At 36.1% G+C, this 15,380-nt stretch overlaps 1 protein-coding gene across 18 annotated transcripts in view; it reads left to right on the forward strand.

Annotated features, from left to right (window-relative positions):
• SYT16 (synaptotagmin 16) overlaps positions 1 to 13,163 on the forward strand; it is a 300,664-nt gene extending 287,501 nt beyond the window's left edge. For 14 of the 18 annotated variants that reach the window (NM_001367650.1, NM_001367661.1, NM_001367659.1 and 11 more), the window contains one exon: positions 732 to 12,888. In NM_001367650.1, coding sequence (NP_001354579.1) covers positions 732 to 1,045 — 314 coding nt within the window. In that variant the 3' untranslated portion in view covers positions 1,046 to 12,888. Of the gene's footprint in view, positions 1 to 731; positions 12,889 to 13,086 lie in introns of those variants that run through there. The other 4 variants (NM_001387088.1, XM_017021697.3, XM_047431802.1 and 1 more) reach the window with 3 other exon arrangements.
• The last annotated feature ends 2,217 nt before the right edge of the window (positions 13,164 to 15,380 follow it).

Here is a 15,380-nt window from a genome sequence, read left to right on the forward strand (position 1 = left end):
GGTCCAAAGGATATGTAGATGCCTGGGCAACATAGGGAGACCCTATTTCTACAAAAAGTTAAAAAATTAGCTGGGCATGATGGTGCATGCCTGTGGTTCCAGCTACTCAGGAGGCTGATGGGGTAGGATCGCTTTGGGCCCAGAAGTCAAGGCTTTAGTGAGCTGTGATCATGCCACTGCACCCCAGCCTGGGCAACGGAGCAAGACCTTGTGTGTCTGTCTGTCTGTCTGTCTGTCTCTCTCTCACTCACACACACATGCACACACACATACACAGACATATGAATATGTAGAGAGTGAGAAAAGAATTCTCCAATTCAGGCATAAAATAGCAATTTGACTATGAAAAAATCATGTAGAGCAAAATGTGTATATTTATCTTGTTACATAAATAAATGTAGATGAAGAACTGTGCCTGCCCACAAGCACCATTGCACGTATGCCTGTGCACGAATGTATACACCCTGTGCATGTAGAAGTACTAATGAACATCAGCAATGTGTGCTGGATAGTGAGCCACATGAAACATTAGGTATTCAAGGTAATAATTCCCTTCCTTAATAATTCATGCAAGATGTGTTGCCCAACAGCAAGAACCAGGCTTAAGGATACTGATCAGTATGTTGAAAGGAGAAATTTGTAGCCCATATAAATGTTACAGCTAGTCTAGCCAAACAGAGAGCACTAATGTTTCTTATCATCCCCACCCCACCCTTTTTTTTTTGTCTTAGATACATATGGAAAACTCTTTCTCCTCAATTCTGTGGGTCAAGAGATGTCCCGTTGCAAGACGTCCATTCGGCGTGGTCAGCCCAATCCTGTCTATAAGGAGACCTTTGTTTTCCAGGTGGCCCTCTTTCAGCTGTCTGATGTCACGTTGATGATTTCCGTTTATAACAGGCGTACTATGAAGCGTAAAGAGATGATTGGCTGGATTGCCCTGGGCCAGAACAGCAGTGGAGAGGAGGAACAAGATCACTGGGAGGAGATGAAGGAAACCAAAGGCCAGCAGATCTGCAGATGGCACACTTTGCTGGAATCCTAGGTTTGCTAACCTGCATTTGTGTGCTGTGTCCACCTTGGTTACCTGTGTTGCTGTCTACTGACACTAAGTGTCCTGGCAAGGGTTTCAGGGTTTCAAAAACAGATTCCACTAACCCCTAGGACATTGTGAGTGGGAGTTTTGGGTTTCTCAATGGTCTGATTTGGATTTAAATATTGTAATTTTAAAAACACACATACACAGTGAAGTGTCCGTATGGAAAATATTATACCACAATTAAGACCACTGATGAGTTAATTTGTGCCAATAGATCATTGAGTTTTAGTTCAGGGTATGGGGTGAAGCTTCTTCTGCTGTCTCTGTTTGCTTGAAGAGTAACCTGAGATTGCAAGGGAGCTGTTAATTGTTACTATTTGCAACCATTTAGGTGGATGAATCAGAATTTTCTTAATATGGTACAAAAAACTCCAAAATATAGATATGAATCAGATGCTGAGCCTCATAAAAGAATCAAACTCTAATCCATAAACTCTTATTTCACATTTTTCTCTTTATCAAAGAAACCTATTTACCTAACGAGTAAATATTATAAACTTGCACTTTTAAAATAAATTTGTATTAATTAAATACCTCTTTTATCTTATATTTTGTGGTTTCTATGAGATTTGGTTAGATGAATCATTTTGAAGCAAGAAAAGAGTTCAGAAACTACTGTTTTAAGACAACTTGTCTCCTTTTGAATATGTAAGATTTCAAACTTGTGACTTTCAAGGTTTTTATGCTGTCTTTCTCACCCAATAAGTTCTTACAGAATAAGAAAACAAAAAACAAGACTACTGCAGTCATAGATTTATTGATTTTTTCTGCTTCTGGTGTTCTTTTGGATTATCCTTTTTCTATGTTCAATTATATATACTCATATATGAATATTTTGAATGTACTGCATGTAAACCATGCTCTTTTTAAACTGAGTATTTTCCATCACTAGAGCATAGTAAATTGTACACAGTGAGTCCTTAATAAATATTGATTTGATTGACTCTTCAAAGTGAACATGTTATAACACCTGTGAATGGAGAAATATTTTCAGCTTGTGTGGAATGACATTAAGTTTTTCTTTGAGCATTTGAAGTGCCTATAACTGTCATTTTTTTATGGCATTTGCAGCAACATATATTAGTCACTACTTGCAATCTGGGCATGTGCCATTCAGAATACTGATCTTGTATGGTTATGAGCATGGGATTTTACTTATGACTTAATTTTACATATTTATGCAGTGCATGTTTACTTTCCTTATTCATAGGTCTGGGCCCTTAATTTCAATTACTTTAAATTGGCATTAATAAAAAAATAGGGAAAGAATGTATGTACATTTAATCCCTGCGCTCAATGTGCAGCTCTTCTGAGCAATTGCTCAGTCACCTATTTTTAGTTTCTATGTTTCATTGTGGACTTTTTCCTGTCTGTGGGAAGAGTGATAGCTAGTGATGGCTGTATACAGTTAAAAACACATAACTCCTCCTCAGCTCCACGTTTTGACAGATTGTAAGCGTAGGCTGTAACACTTGAAGAACATATTTATTCCTTACAGTGTGTAATGGTTATCCTGACAAGACCAGACTAGGGCACAGGATAACTCTACTATGCTTTCAGGGTTCAGTCTTTGAATGAAATGATTTCATATGGAAGAATGAGAATTTGCCAAATAAATTAATACCTTAATTACTTTTCAGGTCATGGGAGTTTCATATATATGGCTGCTCAGTTATTAGGAATATGTAATAAAACCATGTTCCTCTGGGTTTTTACCCTACCTTTCTTTGGGAGATCTCAGAGTGCTTTTCCAGCATTATATCCATTAACTGCTGAGTGGTCTTTGCAGCGTGGCTAAGTCATTGAGTAGAACTGAGTGCGATTGATTAAGTAGCAGCACAAAGAAGTGGCTTTTCACATCTCTTACTCTTTATGCCTTGTGTTTAAAGGGAAGTAGAACAGCCTCGCTATGCTTTCCTTTATGCAGTAACATAATAGCAGCATTCATTTTAAAATTTACATTTGAAAAAAATCTGTATATATTGTACAGACAGCCCTGAATTTTTCCCTCTCATATTTTCCTGCTGCTGCATCCTTGTTTCTTGGTACCCAATAATCACCTATACTTCATTTTCTGTTCCCAAGACCCACCCATTTTTAAGGTTTTCGGCTGGTGTAGTGAAGATATTTGTGTGCTTGATCTGCCTTCCAATGGTCTGTTTATGATACAGTTTACAGGAATGCGCACCATTTTAAGGGAAGGAATGCCTGAAAACATTTTTTATTTTTATAATTTTACTATGTTGGTGCTACTCACCAAATAGGATGCATGTACATCTTGAATATACAGCAACATTCACCCTCAGCTGATTGTATACATTTAAGTGCTGAAGACAAGATATATAACAATATGTGGCTGATTTTTTTTACCTTTATTTGAAATTCTAGTTTAGTAAGATCTTTTGATTTTGTGCACTTAAACTCCCTTATTTTCTTGGCAAAGTCTAGACACAAATGCATTTAACATGTTTTTCACTTGAGCTTTTACATTTGGTTTTCAAAAGAGTTATGAAAGATAATTAGTTGGTTCTGCAGTAAAAAACTGCTTTTGCCTATTTCTTCCAGCTAATGATTAATATCTCATAGGGAGATTTGACATTGAAGCAGCACTGGTTTTTGTTGCTTGAGTAGGTCTTTCAGCGATTTTGCCTGAAGAGCATGCTTTTAAAATAATATCGTTAAGAGTAAATGATGCGCTGGGTTTATGGAAATCTGCTTTATAGTGTGCCTTCTTTTAGGGTGTGAGTTTACACTGAATTGAGAAATCCTGATTTCACCAATTACGGTGGTGGCTGTTGTACTCTCTACTCCCCTCTGACTATTGTTGAATTTTTAAATGGACCATTCACCAGGCAGCCGAACACCTGCTCTCCGTTCCCTCTCCTTCACTGGCTCCCAGTGTGATGCACAGTTGTTTTGGACTCTGTTTTTGCTGATGCTGCATAACTGTTGGAGGTGGGGGTGTCTTGCCTTCCCTAACATAAGAAGAATTTGTAATGTCTTTGGATGTGGCATTCCACCTGCATGAAATCAGGAAAAGAATCATCACCATGTTTGTGAGAGGGAAAAGAGTATGGCATTGCATAGTCATTCGCTTTAGGCACTATTAATTCTGACATCCTTCATTGAAAATTAACTGACATCAAATGTCAATATTCTCCATAGTCCTAGGTGCCAGTGAGCCTGAAACACAGCTTCTGCCTTTTCAATGTGTAGATTTCATGATATTTTACAAATTATTGTTACCTCTTGTGCAGTTACTGTGCTTTAGATGACCTTATCTGAGAACCAAAATTCTTTTCTTTCCAGATGAAGTACTATTTAAGTAGAAACTAGCATTAGGTTAAATCAAAGTGCTTCTCTGATAGCCACCAATTTGATTTAATTGATGATTCGGTGTGGACACCACTGTGGGTTTCCAAAAAAACTGGTTATCCTTTTGCAGCAGAGGACTTAGTATTTTAAAAACAGAAAAGTAAGTAGGAAAGTATTATTTGTAAATGTCATAAAACCAGATGGAGGCATATTCTTTACTGATAAAGAAACAGGACTAGAACACGCATGTGGTATCTCCTTTTACTTTTGAGGAAACTGTGGTTAAAGAACATTCTATTCTATTTGATCTAAGAGCAAAGCAAATGATGGATAATCCTGAAATGGTAAAAGTATTTTTGTCTTAAAAATTATTCATTTGGGCAAAGTCATTTACAACAAAATAAAAAGTCATACAGCACACCTATGGAAGAATTAAAGAATACATAAATGTGCTGGATACATTTAGCATCCTCCAGTGAGTTGTATGTAAGGAGAGTAAACTAATAAACCAAAATACATATCAGATCAACTAGCTATCACTTTTCTAAAACTTGTAGAATTCTGAAAAATATTTAAAGATGGGAGAAACGAAACTGTGCTAAGACAATGAGATTGGCATAGCACAGTGAAGTTGGCACAAACTGTGATCCTGGCCTGGGTTTACATGAAACTCTGCTGTGTGGCCTTAAGAAAATTACTTAGCCAGCCTGTATCCTGGTTTCTTCAACTGGAAAATGGAAATAATACCTACCTCATTAGGTGTCTTAAAAGATATCAGTGAAATCACAGATGTAATGTGCCTAGCATAGAGCCGGGCATGTAGTTAGCATTCCGTAGTTCCTCCTTACAGTCATGCCTGAAAAAGAAAATATTTAAGATGTGTCTTCTTTTTCTAGCAAATGTTATTATAACACTAGAGAAAAACAAAAACCAACGTTCAGATACTGTAACAAGGATAGGCTCATGAAGCCAGGCTGGATTCGTAAATAAAGGAGGCTTCATCAGGACAGCCTAATCAGAGATAAGCCTGGTATGTGGAGGAAATTGAGCCTTAATAGAGTCCAACTGTGGTAGAACCAAGTCTTTGCATTTATCCCCTTAGTTTGGAGGGAGTACAAATCCTTGATGGTTTGTGTGTACCTCTTGATCGATCACAAACAAGGCCTCTCCTTGTCTCCAGTTCTCTTATTCATAAATGGACAAGGCATCTTGTCGCCTTTATCAAAAGAGTTGGTGACAATGGCAGTTTGACTACATATTTCAACTGTGATCCAAAAAAGTAAAATAAATGATGTGATACTATACTGAGACTGTTTTAAAAATGGATAACACTTTCTTTAAAACCTGCATTATATATCCATTTTATATCCTGATAGCCAAACATTTTAAAATACTCTAATAACACAGCTCTCAAAACGTATCTGTTTGACTGGAATGTCCTGCTCAGAACAAATTATCACTGTTTCCCTTATGAGATCCTAATGAAAGAAATTCAGTTGATACTACTTTTTAAAATGGGTTTTAAGAGTGGCTTGTTGATATAATAGCGCATCCACTTGTTCTCAAGTGATTCAAACCTTGAGTAAAAAGGAGAGTTTCTGGAGAATTTAGAAGAATCTTTGTTGACATTTAATCTAGAGAAGTCTTCAGGAGCAAACCACTTCAAGTTCAGTGTAACCAGGTGCCATGAGTCAGTCATGTGCTACTTGTGGTTTTAAACGAAACATGATTCTGGGATGAGAAGTGCGAGGCTACACTCCTAATATAATCAAATTGCCAAAGCACTGTTTTGAGTCCTCGGTATCCCAATTAAGGAGAAACATGAAGACATTGGAGAATCACTTAGCTTAGGGCTTTTAGTAGGGAATAATTAAACATGTAGGGAAGGTGAAGGAGTTAGATGGGAGGTAAGAAGGCTGAGGAGATTTCTAGTAACAATGATCCAAAAGTTCTAACCAGGGGGATGGTGCACACTTTCTCTTCTTGACCACATGGATAGATTTCAGAGCATCCCTCTAAATCAAGTCTGGAGAATTATGTGAAGGTTGTTTCTCATTAATTCAAAATGTATTCATTGTCTAGTACTATGCTATCTGGGCTGGCACAGAACTTAAAATCTCTTTGGAGTGCTATGAGTGCACATTGAAGCAGTTGGTCATCATTATACAATGATGCTTACCAATATACAACTGTTAAGTTAGTCTAACTATGTGCCATAAACAGTAGAGTTCCTTGTTACTAGTATTGGAAGGTGAAACATTGGCTGAATTTATTGGGGCAAGTGTCTAGGAAGCCTTGGACTGGCAGTGAGTCTTGGTTGCATTATATGGGAAATTGGTGGGGATGGGGGTGTCATAGAATCATCATCTTTGGAAGTTTTTTAAAATAGAAAAATGTACTTGAAGTCTTGGTTCTGCTAAAGAAGAATGAGAGGACACCCATGAATATACCCTTTATAAAGTTCCTTCTAATATTTAGGTGTAACGTTAAAAAAGAATCAACAATAACACTCCAGGCCTGTCTTCTTCCACTTTGGACATTTTTTCCACATTGATTTTTCTCTGCATCATAGAAAGTTTTCTCTGAAGAGTTCCTATTTGGGTTTTGTTTAGGGCTTTGGGGATGCCTGCAGGCTCAGGGGGAGTTTCCTCTCCTATGGTGCTTTGACTGTTTTTGTTTCCCTTGGGTCACAAAACCATATCCTAGACACACAGACAATAATCACCTTATTTATATCCACTGTGGAACCTGTGAAACAGCTCGAGGCTTTACAGAACAAGCTCATAGGCAGTCATGGAGATCTGAGGCCTTTCTTGGAATGAAGCCGCTAACTTGCTAACTGCTTTCCATTGCTCACTAATGCTGCCTTAAGGTTTCTTCATGGGAATTTTTACTTCATGCCTTTGAGTGACAGTGTTACCAGTTTTACCTTGAGGATGATGAGAAGGCTGACTTCCTATTGTATTGCCATATTTATGCATTATTTTTGTTTACGTCATTTCCCCCTTGAAGTATCTAGTTGCTGGGGTTTTGTTTGTTTTATACAAAATTTATTCATTCAAAAAGATCTTTATAGGTTGGGCATGGTGGCTCACACCTGTAATCCCAGAACTTTGGGAGGCCGAGGTGGGAGAACAGCTTGCGTCCAGGATTTCTAGTCCAGCCTGGGCAACATAGTGAGATCTTGTCTCTACAAAATACCAAACATTCGCTGGGTATGGTGGTGTGCGCCTATAGTCCCAGCTCCTCAGGAAGCTGAGGTGGGAGGATTGCTTGAACCTGTGAGGTCAAGGCTGCAGTGAGCCGGGATCATGCCACTGCATTCAGCCTGGGTAGCAGAGTGAGACTCTGTCTCAAAAAAACCAAAAAACAAGACCTTTTTAAGTGTAAATGTTCCAGACTCAGGGTTAGGGGTTGGAGAATGGCAGATGGATAAAATAGTTTAAGTTCAACAATATTTTTTTGTTGTTTCTAAATATTCTTTTTAAAAACTAGAGTCTGATAAGAAATCTAGGTAAATAATAAGATCTTTTATTAACCTTGAATTTTTGGCTTAATGTATTTCTGTAATTGTCTCTTTCCCCCTTTGAAAGGCAGAAGATTTAGGGAAGGTGAAAGTTATTACCCTGTATCTAATTAAGAAATAGGTACACTTGTTTGTCAGTCTATGCTTTCATTCAAAATAAATGGATATGTTTTGTATCTGGGGGAGGAAATGCATCATTCCATTCCAGCAGTGAAAAGAATTATAGCATCAAATAGGATATTTAGTATTCTTGACTTTTATAATTAAATACTGAATGCCCTTTGCAAGACAGTAAGTTAGATCCTGGAATGCTAGGTCTGTACAAACTTGACACATTTCTTACAAGCTCTGTGTTTTAATAGTCAAAGGCATTGCTACCCTTTGCTTTTTGAAAGAGTGAACTGGTAACAGTAGCCGCCAGAGAAAGAGGTGACAATCTAAACAAAGAGCCCTGCTTACCTTTCTGTGACTAAAACTAGTCTTAAAAACTGAATACATTTGGGGCATCCTTATGAAATAGGTAAAGGTCAACATTGGGAGTGTCCCTACCTTGGCAGATAGACCAATACTTTTTTCCTAGACTCAACCCATTTTTAAAGCAGGAGTTTTTCCAATGGATTTATTGTTTATAATTCTACTAAACATGTCTTAGTCCACGCAAATTAACTCAAAATCTTTGGTGGCCTGAAAATTCTGACTGAAAGCAAGTTTTTCGTGTTGCCCAGTTGATAGTCCATAATAAAAAATGTACATATCTTGTTTAAAAAAGACCTTGATGTTTGAGAAGAAATATCGGAAGTCTGCCAGTAAAAACTCTGATTAAGTGAGGAACATGTACATTAAAAGATATTTTCATGTAAGTTATTTTAAGATAGTTGCATTCTAGGACCATGTTTCTTTTTTGAGAGTGTTTCTTTGTCAAGTTCCTTATAGCCAATGCCTTGACCAAAGCTTACTAATTTTGCCACATTTCCTTGTGGGTTATGATAATCTTTATTAATTCACAACTCTACCAAATTATAATACAGTCTTTTATTATGCCACCATATGAATGCAGCTGCAAATTCAATTTTGTGAAATACAAAGTCCTTTCCAGAATTTTAAAACTTAATTTCAGTATAGATTTTAAGTTTGTGAATAAGAAATTAGTATTTGTATACCTTATTATGACAGAGGTTTCTGTTACAATATTTTCTCTTATAGTGTTGGGATAGGATTTGACCTGTATTTTCAGGTTAAAGCTGGTCTTTGAGATCTACTTTTTAAGAAATTAATAAATTTTATTTTTTAGAGTTTTAGGTTCACAGCAAAATTGATCCTAAAATATAGAGTTCTCATATACTCCAAACACAACCTTCTTCCCCGTGAACATTTTGAACACCACAGTGCTATATTTGTTACAACTGATGAACCTTCATTGACATAACATTATCACCCAAAGTGCATAGTTCATATTAAGGTTCACTCTTGGTGTTGTGTATTTTATGGGTTTTGACCAATGCACAATGACGTGTGTCCACTATTGTAGTATCATACAGAAGATTTTCACTGCCCTAAAAATCCTCTGTGCTCTGCCTATTCATTCCTCCCTCCCACCTAAGCCCTGGCATCCACTGGTCCTTGTACTGTCCCCAGAGTTTTGCCTTTTCCAGAATGTCATACAGTATGTAGCCTTTTCAGATTGGCTTTTTTTTTTTTCACTTAGGGATAGTCATGTAAGTTTTCATGTCTTTTTATGGCTTGATAGTTCATTTATTTTAAGTGCTGAATAATATTTCATTGTCTGGTTGTATCACCATTTATGACCTATTTGCTCTTATTTCTAGTTCCAGTTGCTATGGCAAATTTTATTAAAGTGCGTGCTCTCAGGAAAAGCTGCATATATTTTATATGATCCATCAAATAAAATGTAGCAACTTCCAGTCTAGAATAAATTTCACCTATATGATATTGAGCTTGTTTTACATTGGGGGAGGAGATTTATGAAAAAATATAATAATTTCATAATTTATATTACCCTATCTATGAGTTTTTCCCTCCATTGGAATCTAAACAGAAAGTTCTGAAGGTTATGAAGACGTGATCCCAAATTTAGTGACTCTGTAGTGTCTTTTGTTGAGCAATGAGTTAAATACCTGTCGATAAAAAGTGTTAATTATGTTATTACTGATTCATGATAGAAAATCACCTTCTGTCGCTAGTTTATATGACTTTACATTTACCACTCCTGCCAAGAGAAAGGAAGCTTTGTGATTGTGCCCCGTCATAGTTAATTGTACAAATCAATTAAAAATGGTATGTAAGCATCTGGCTCACACAGCAGCTCTGAATTCTGAATGAAAAGATAACCCATGCTAATGTATATGTTGCATGAACAAGTAGATGGGTGTTGGAAAGAAAACACTGATAGTCACTCTGGGTGAAGGGGGAGGCCTGGCCAATGATTTGTATCTGAGAAACATTTTGAGATTATTTATATGTCTTCTGACTGCCCTTTGCTTTGTAGCTACAGCAACTTGCAGAACCTGGCATTATTGCAGAGATGAAGGTATAGTTGTATAAAGAATATTGGATTAAAGTTGATGAGGCCTGTGTTCTGATATCAAATCTTCCACTAATGAGCTCTAAAATGAATATCAAGTCACAATTTTTTCAAGCCTTCATTGTTGCATCTATCAGATGGGAATAGTAATACTCATTTTACCTATTTTTACCAGGTGGTTGTAGGAACAGGATTCATTCATTCCTTCATTAATATAATGAACACTTTGAGACCCCACTATATAACAGGGCCATACATATGACAAGGTGATAGATGGAAAGACGTTTTGCAGAATTTTTGAAGACTTGCAATGTTTTTGAAGACTACAGGATAGTTTGTGATTTTTATATTAAGGTCGTATCAACTCTTTATGTCAATATATCAAAGTAATTGACACTTTTAGAGCTCTGCCAATCAGTGGGCCATATTCATAGAATGTCAGTAATCTGTCTGAATACAAGTTATAGTTGGTCTTTAGCTGTTCTGTCTCTGAGGAGCTAGAAATAAAATATTAGGTTCTAATTTTTTTTTGTTCAAACACTGATCATGTAACAAACTGCAAATCCATGTTTTCAGCAGGTTCGCCAACCTTTGAGTTGAATGCAGACCTTTCTTTAGAACAACCTAACTTTGAGTACAGGCAAAGTATTAAATGGAATAGCTTTTCCTCCCCTACAAAGTGGATTTGAATACAGTCCTTAGAAAAATTCTTCCCCTGCCAAAAAAGGTCCTTCAATCTCCTTTATTATTTTTCTTTTGAAGAATCAAACTTGTCCATCTCTCCCCTCCCAAGTGACTTTCCTCACTCATGTAATCATTTTCTTCATAAATGCCCTTTTACTATCCCACAGAAAAAGTAAAGATTTAAAAAATCATTTTTAAGGTACATCCAAGATTTCATAGCAATATTTTATTTGTGTTCACAGTGCAAGATAAATCTGACTTTCTCAATATTTTTGGTCTTCATATGGCATCTGAAACAGTTGTTCACATTCACACATTTATGTTTCACCATATGCATACTGTGTACAGCTCTGTTGTTCTAAAATATTTTATTGGTTTTCCTTTATATCTCAACTTTTGATGGGTGTCCTTGAAGAACTTTCATGAAAAAAATGTAAATGTGAATGATTCATTCATTTTGAACATATGTAACTATTTTAGGAGATTTTCAGGAGATTTTACCCTACATGGAGTACACTGTTCTTAGCAGGGAATGTGCTTTATATTACTATTCTACTCACAGCTGGATGCTGCAGATGTATTAACATTGTAAACATGTACTTTTTCTATTCTATGCTTACTTTAATACATTATTTATATGTGCTAGACTGTGCTGAGTTTTGGTGGTTGTCAAAGGCAGTCAGTAATTTTATAAATTTCACTTTTGTGGATAGTTAAGTATAACATGGTTTAGTATAAAATCTGGTCTTCCTCTAGATTTCTAAGTCACTAGAAGAATTTCTTGGCAAATTGATTGTTCAAGGCCAGTTTTGTTAGTTGTAAGGTGGAAGCCACCCCAATCCTCTCCCAGTGTTTCATAGGCATTTTCAGACCTGGATGCTATTATAGTTCCTCCTCTAGTTTTCCAGTAGAGAATTCGTATGTGGTCCAGAGGTTCAAGAGAGAGAGAGAAAAAATTTCTCCTCAAAAGAATTGAACCCTTACTTTAGAAACTTCTGACAATCTTCAGAACATTCCATGTGGGTGTCCTTGTGTTTCTCATAGTATGACTTATTGATTCATGGTGTCTCTTATTAAAGAAGCATGAATGTATCACTAGCTGTTACCAGAACAAACAGCTGTAGAATGTAATGACCCATCCTATTTCTAAATTTACTTCTATCAGTGGATAATTTGTGTATAGGAAAAGGTGTGGAAATTTTTTAATTGTTAAAAACTGGAATACCTTTCTACCTTTTGTAGTCTTTAAGATTTCATAATGATGGTTTTAATGTATTACTATCTTACTATTATGTATTGTGTTTAAACAAGACCAATCAGTGAAATATTGAATGTCAATACTTTTTGTTAGAAATGCCCTCTGAAAATGTTAGAAAATGTAAAACTTTACCTGTGACAAGGAATAAATTCATGATTAGAAGAATTATACTGTTTTTCTTGTGCAAATAATACTTAAGGCAGATGTTCAGTCTCACAGTGATGTTGGAAAGCATATTTTATGCAGTCTAAACACTATTTCTGTATTAGATATTTAAATGCATGAGGATAAATTCTAATTGCTTTTTGTTTAAAACAGAAACATAGAAGAAGCATTAGCCCCAGTTTGTATAAAATGTCTGCTGCAACTGAATTCATGATAGTTCATGAAAACTGAAAATCATTCCAATTTTGTAAAACTGCTGCTACTGGTTTTATCAATAAAGTTTTAGCAGATGGCTTATATGTACATGTGTGAAAATTTTTTATGTTAAAAAAAGATACAGTTTTGCAGCATCAACATGCAAATTTTATGGGCCTGAATGATACTGCTTATTTTAGTATATACAAAAACCATTAACTTCAAAACCATACCAACTGCAGACATATATTTTAGAACTATAAGCATTACATGTATGATCCATACAGTTTATTTGGTTTCAGGGTGCTGTAGGCTTTTATGGTGAACACATATACAAATCAACATATACCAGTTCAAATGCTGACTTGAAGAACATCAGGTAAGGAGCTATATAAATGTAAGGATCACCTGAATTAATTAAATTGCATCTAAAGGGGATTCTGAGAAGGCAAACTGCAAAGTGTAGGTGTTCATGTACAAAAGTGTATGTAATTCCTCATTAGAGAAGCTCTTGTCCAGAACACTTTCCCCTCTATGAATACCCAGTTCTCAAAAGTTAACAAGGCTCAGATGCAACAAGCTAGAAGTAGAGGGAGCTGAGTTATTATATTCGGACACCTACATAGCACTCAAAACATGGCTGACTTCCCCCAAACAGAAAAGCATAGAGAAATACAATTCTATAGATGTTTCAGTGACAATTTTTAACAATTTTACAATTCTGTATTAGTTGAGGTAATGTTACCTGTTGTAATAACCCAAAATGTCAGTTGACTCACATAAGAAAGGTTTATTTCTCCCTCATCTGGGATGTTTTTGGCCATTCAGTTTTCTTTCTAGCAGTATCTCAGGGATTGAGGCTCCTTTTGTGATTTGGCCTTTCAGAGTCCTTATGGACTTTGAAGGAATGTATTGCCATGCAAATGGAGGAAGAAAAGCCATGAGGGTCAAATGATGTGTTTTAGGGGACAGGCTTAGAGGTGCTGCTCTTCACTTCTGCCCAAACTCCGTTGGCCAGAACTAGTCCAATGGGTCCACCTATATTTAAGAAGGCTGGGAATTGTAGTTTATTTATATGCCCGAGAAAATGAAACAGTATTGGTAAGACTCTTGTTAAGTCAGTTAAGTTATGGCATACTTACATTTTTAAAAAAATTATTTGAAATGTTGTGGTACTGGTGACTATTTATGAAAAGCTTATTGGTTGCTTAAGTTCTTTCTAACCCATGACAGCACTAGAACACTATGGGCTGATTAAGGGTTCTACTTGTACTTTTACATCCATAGTCACCTTAGACTTAGACCATTTCAACACTTGAAGGAGCATTGTTGCAAATAAAGACTATTTGAGTTCACATTTCCAAAGCCACAGGGCAAAGAGTTTTGAGCTAGTAGGCTGAGCAAGATTGACCATTTCTACATGTGTATGTGCACTAGTAGGTACATACATATATGGCATACTGAAAACATTAAAGCAAATATATGAGCAAAAGAAGAATAATGCAGAAGAAACATTTTTCCATATATGAATCTTAGAGTATGTCATCTGGAGAGCTTAAACTTGGCAAATGATTGCTATCTTGTGGCATTGCTTCAACACAGGCTTACCCATGCTGAAATGTTAAAATAATTGAGACAGCCATCTATGACTCTGGTTCTTTGGTTCTTTTTTTTTTTTTTGTCTTTTGTAGTAATTAAAAAATTGTGCTGTGTAGCATTTTATTGATAAGTCAAATAAGTCAAATCACATTATATGTATTGTAAGCTTCATAGTCTCCTTACAGTTTCTCTGGGGTTGCTCCAGAAAGATTCAGAAATATGGCTCAAGGGGAAGCTTGGGTGACATTTCACAGTGCTGATAAATTTTAATGTGCATTCCACTACATAATAAAACATCTGATTCTTTTCAGTAAACAGATAAGAAGTAGGAGACAGGATTGGCATTATATCTATGGTCATGTCGAGGAGGGACAAGATTGAGTGGTGAGAAGATTAGAATTTGGATAGATTCTAAGGTAGGTAGTATGGAATTTTAATATGTATTTTAAAATCCAAAATTGTTTAGTGAAAGATTCTAATCTTACAAGGAGAATTGCAGAATTTATCCAATTATATATGCAGACATAAATAACACAGTCGAGATTAAAATCATACCTGTTTTCTAATTCCAGTTATGCCATCAAGGAATCCTGTGATCTTGGATTACCTTGACCTTTCTTTCGTGTCTTCCAACATCTGTTATATCTTGAGGTAGTCCCAGAGGAGGAGGGGACTTGGCAATTATTTGTTGATTTAAACTGACAATAGTAAAGATTTCCTAGTCCATTCAGATAAAGTATAACACTAGACATACCATCCATACTGGTCAAATTACCTAGCTGCTCCCAAATACATTTTTTTCTCCATAAGATATAGCGTGTTGTTATGGAGGCTGCTTTTACCTGAGGTAGAGGAGTATTTTAAGGAAAAATGAAACCGTTCATCTCGGAGGTCTCACAACCACTTTAGAGGGTGTGGAAAGACAAGAATTAGGAAAATATATAAATGACTTTAGGTGAGTATTTCCCAATGCTATTAAAATGCAGGTAGTGACCTT

This window comes from Homo sapiens, chromosome 14 (genome assembly GCF_000001405.40).
Source record: "Homo sapiens chromosome 14, GRCh38.p14 Primary Assembly".
Taxonomy (NCBI): Eukaryota; Metazoa; Chordata; class Mammalia; order Primates; family Hominidae; genus Homo; species Homo sapiens.